General features: G+C 35.9%; 1 annotated feature.

The window, feature by feature from the left end:
* Positions 239–533: a silencer, noted in NCBI's record as "tiled region #5408; HepG2 Repressive non-DNase unmatched - State 24:Quies". NCBI's record gives its function as "represses a minimal TATA promoter and a strong SV40 promoter by Sharpr-MPRA in HepG2 cells {active_cell/tissue: HepG2}" and the evidence as "EXISTENCE:reporter gene assay evidence [ECO:0000049][PMID:27701403]".

Consider the following 5,293-nt stretch of genomic DNA (forward strand, 5'->3'; position numbering starts at 1 on the left):
TGTATGATTATTGTCATATTCCATATTCTTTCTTGCATGTTGATTATATACCCCTGCGCTGTGGAATCAGACATGCCTATATGACTTGCTTTGGCCAATAAAACATAAATGGAAATGATATTTGTCATTCCAGGAAGAAGCACTATAAGAAACCTAATGTGGTACACTATGTTGTCTTTTACTCTCTGCAAAGGGCAGAATAATGCCTCCAAAGATATCCGTACCTTGATCCCAGAATTTGTGATTATGTTATTTTACATGGCAAAAGGGACTTTGCAGCGGTGACTAACATAAGGACCTTGAGATGAGGAGATTATCCCCAGGAACATAATCACATGAGTTCTTAAACACAGGGGACATTTGCTAATGATGGCCCAAGGGAACTGACTATAGAAAAATGGAAAGAGAGTTGCTTATCAGCGTAAGAAACTTTTGGCCTGAGACGATGGGGTTTTCTAAATATAGGATCATGTAATCCACAAACAGAGATAGTTTGACTTCCTCTCTTCCTATTTGAATACACTTTATTTCTTAAACACAGGGGACATTTGCTGATGATGGCCCAAGGGAACCAACTATAGAAAAAAAGGAGAGAGAGTTGCTTATCAGCCTAAGAGGCGTTTGGGCTGAGACGACAGTTTTTTAAATATAGGATCATGTAATCCAAAAACAGAGACAGTTTGACTTCCTCTTTTCCTATTTGAATGCCCTTTATTTCTTTCTCTTGCCTGGTTGCCCTGGCCAGAACTTCCAATACTATGTTGAATACGAGTGGTGAGAGAGGGCATCCTTGTCTTGTGATGGTTTTCAAGGGGAATGCTTGCAGCTTTTGCCCATTCAGCATGATATTGGCTGTGGGTTTGTCATACATGGCTCTTATTATTTTGAGGTATGTTCCACCAATGCCTAGTTTATTGAGAGTTTTTAACATGAAGGGATGTTGAATTTTATCAAAGGCCTTTTCTGCATGTATTGAGATAATCATGTGGTTTTGTCTTTAGTTTTGTTTATGTGATGAATTACATTTATTAATTTGCATGTGTTGAACCAGCCTTGCATCTTGGTGATGAAACCAGCTTGATTGTGGTGGATAAGTTTTTTTAATATGCTGCTGGATTTGGTTTGCCAGTATTTTATTGAAGGTTTTCAAATTTTACATTATTTTAAAATTAATTTTTCCATAAATTATTGGGGTACAGGTGGTATTTGATTACGATTAAGTTCTGTAGTGGTGATTTGTGAGATTTTGGTGCACCCATCATCCAAGCTGTATACAGTGCACCATGTTAGTAGTCTTTCAGCCCTTGCCTCCCTCCCAGTCTTCCCCCCAAGTCTCCAAAGTCCATTTTATCATTCCTATGCCTTTGCGTCCTCGTAGCTTAGCTCCCACATATCAATGAGAACATATGATGTTTGGTTTTCCATTCCTGAGTTACTTCACTTAGAATAATAGTCTACAGTCTCATCCAGGTTGCTACAAATGCTGTTAATTCATTCCTTTTCATTGTCGAATTGTATTTCATCATATATATATTCATATATAGATGTGTATATATGTGTATACACACACACACACACACACACACACACACACACCCCCCACAGTTTCTTTATCCACTTGTTGATTGATGGGCATTTGGGTTTGTTCCATGATTTTACAGTTGTAAATTGTGCTGCTATAAACATGCATGTGCAAGTATCTTTTTTTGTATAATGACTTCTTTTCCTTTGGGTAGATACCCAGTAGTGGGATTGCTGGATCAAATGGTAGTTCTACTTTTAATTCTTTAAGGAATCTCCACATTGTTTTCCATAGTGGCTGTACTAGTTTACACTCCCGTCAGCAGTGTAGAAGTGTTCCCTGATGACCACATCCATGCCAATATCTACTGTTTTTTGATTTTTTTATTATGGCCATTCTTGCAGGAGTAAGATGGTATCACATTATTGTTTTGATTTGCATTTTCCTGATAATTAGTGATGCTGAGAATTTTTTCATGTGTTTGTTGGCCATTTGTATATCTTCTTTTGAGAATTGTCTATTCATGTCCTTTGCCCACTTTTTTGATGGGATTTTTTTTTTTTTCTTACTGATTTGTTTGAGTTCGTTTTAGATTCTGGATATTAGTACTTTGTCAGATGTATAGATTGTGAAAATTTTCTCTCACTCTGCTGGTTGTCTATTTTCTCTGCTGACTGTTCCTTTTGCCTTGCAAAAGCCCTTTAGTTTAATTAAGTCCCAACTGTTTTCCTTTGTTTTTATTTCATTTGCTTTCAGGTTTTGGTCATGAAATCCTTGCCTAAGCCAATGTCTAGAAGGGTTTTTCCAATGTTATCTTCTAGAACTTTTATAGTTTCACGTCTTAGATTTAAGTTCTTAATCCATCTTGAGTTGATTTTTGTATAAGGTGAGAGATGAGGATCCAGTTTCATTCTCCTACATGTGGCTAGCCAATTATCCCAGCACCATTTGTTGAAAAGGGTTTCCTTTCCCCACTTTATGTTATTGTTTACTTTGTCAAAGATCAGTTGGCACTAAGTATTTGGGTTATTTTTGGGTTCTCTATTCTGTTCCATTGGTCTATGTGCCTATTTTTATACCAGTACCACACTGTTTTGGTGACTATGGCCTTATAGTATAGTTTGAAATCAGGTGGTGTTATGCCTCCAGATTTGTTCTTTTTGCTGAGTCTTGCTTTGGCTCTGCAGGCTCTGTTTTGGTTCCATATGAATTTTAGACTTGTTTTTTTCTAATTCTGTGAAGAATGATGGTGGTATTTTGATAGGGATTGCATTGAATTGGTAGATTGCTTTGGGTCATTTTCACAGTATTGATTCTACCTATTCATGAGTATGGGATGTGTTTCCATTTGTTTGTGTCATGAAAGAAATATGATTTCTTTCAGTAGTTTTTTGTAGTTTTTCTTGTAGAGGTCTTCTGACTCCTAGGTTAGGTGTATGCCTAAGTGTTTTTGTTTGTTTGTTTGTTTGCAGCTATTGTAAAAGGGTTTGAGTTCTTGATTTGAATTTCTCCTTGGTGGCTGCTAATTTGTGTACCTTAATCTTGTATCCAGAAACTGCTGAATTCTTATATCAGTTCTAGGCGCTTTCTGGAGGAGTCTTTAGGATTTTCAAGGTAAACAGTCATATCATCCTCAAACAGTGACAGTTTGACTTCCTTTTTATCGATTTGGATGCCCTTTATTTCTTTCTCTTGTTTGATTGCTCTGGCTAGGATTTCCAGTACTATGTTGAAGAGGAGTGGTGAGAATGGGCATCCTTATCTTGTTCCAGTTTTCAGAGGGAATGCTTTCAACTCTTCCCCATTCAGTATTATGTTGGCCATTGGTCTGTCATAGATGGCTTTTATTACACTGGGGTATGTCCCTTTTATGCTGATTTTGCTGAGAGTTTTAACCATACAGGGATGCCAAATTTTGTCAAATACTTTCACTGCATCTATTGAGATGATCATGTGATTTTTGTTTTTAATTCTGTTTATATGGTGTATCACATTTGTTGACTTGCATATGTTAAACTGTCCCTGCATCCCTGGTATGAAACCCACTCAGTCATGGTGGATCATCTTTTTGATATGTTGTTCTATTTGGTTAGATGGTATTTTGTTAAGGATTTTAGCATCTATGTTCATCAAGGATATCAGGCTGTAGTTTTCTTTTGTGGTTATGTCCTTTCTGGTTTTGGTATTAAGGTGATGCTGGCTTCATAAAATGAATTAGGGAGGTTTCCTTCTTTATCTATCTTGTGGAATAGTGTCAAAAAAATTGGTACCGATTCTTCTTTGAATGTCTGGTAGAATTCTGCTATGAATCCATCTGGTTCTGGACTTTTTTTTAACCAGTAATTTTTAAATTAACATTTCAATCTCACTGCTTTTTTTGGTCTGTTCAGGGTATCTAATTCTTCCTGATTTGTGCTAGAAGATTGTATTTTTCCAGAAATTTATCCATCTCTTCCAGGTTTTCTAGTTTATGTGGGTAAAGGTGTTCATAGTAGCCTTGAATAATCTTTTGTATTTCAGTGGTGCCAGTTGTAATATCTCCTGTTTTGTTTCTTAATGAGGTTATTTGGAGTTTCTCTCTTCTTTTCTTGGTTAATCCTGCTAATAATCTATCAATTTTATTTATCTTTTCAAAGAACCAGCTTTTTGTTTCATTTATCTTTTGTACTTTTTTTGTACAATTTCATTTATTTCTGCTCTGATCTTGGTTATTTCCTTTCTTCTGCTAGGTTTGGGTTTGGCTTGTTCTTGTTTCTCTAGTGTCTTGAGGTGTGACCTTAGCATGTCAGTTTGTGCTCTTTCAGTCTTTTTGATGTAGGTGTTTAGGGCTATGAACTTTCCTCTTTAGCACCACCAAGAGGTTTGAATAGGTTGTGTCGTTATTGTTGTTTAGTTTGAAGAATTTTTAAATTTCAATCTTGATTTCGGTTTTGACCCAATGCTCATTCACGAACAAGTTATTTATTCCATGTATTTGCATGGTTTTGAACATTCCTTTTAGAGTTGATTTCCAGTTTTCTTCTACTGTGGTCTGAGAGAGTGCTTGATATAATTTCAATTTTCTTAAATTTATTGAGGCTCATTTTATGGTCTACCTTGGAGAAAGCTGTATGCACTGTTGAATATAATGTGTGTCCTGCATTTGTTGAATGAAATGTTCTGCATGTATCTGTTAAGTCCATTTGTTTAAAGGTATAATTTAAATCCATTGTTTCTTTGTTGACTTTCTATCTTGATGACCTGTCTAGTGCTGTCAGTGGAGTATTGAAGTCCCCCACTGTTATTGTGTTGCTGTCTATCTCATTTCCTAGGTCTATTAGTAATTATATTATAAATTTGGGAGCTCCAATGTTAGGTGCATATATGTTTAGGATTGTGATTTTTTTGTTGGACAATGCCTTTTACCATTATATAATTTCCCTCTTTGTCTCTTTTAACTGCTGTTGCTTTAAAGCTTGTTTTGTCTGATATAAGAATAGCTACCCCTGCTTGCTTTTGGTGTCCATTTGCATGAAATGCCTTTTTCCACCCTTTACTTTAAGTTTATGTGAGTCCTTATGTGTTAGGTGAGTCTTTTGAAGACAGCAGATTATTGGTTGGTGAGTTTTCATCCATTCTGTGGTTCTGTATCTTTTAAGTGGAGCATTTAGGCCATTTACATTCAATGTTAGTATTGAGATGCGAGGTACTGTTGCATTCATTATGCTATTTGTTGCCTGTGTACTTTTTTTTTTTTTTGCTTTTTAACTTGTATTTTTGTTTATAGGTCTT

The sequence above is a fragment of the Homo sapiens genome, chromosome 8, assembly GCF_000001405.40.
Source record: "Homo sapiens chromosome 8, GRCh38.p14 Primary Assembly".
Taxonomy (NCBI): Eukaryota; Metazoa; Chordata; class Mammalia; order Primates; family Hominidae; genus Homo; species Homo sapiens.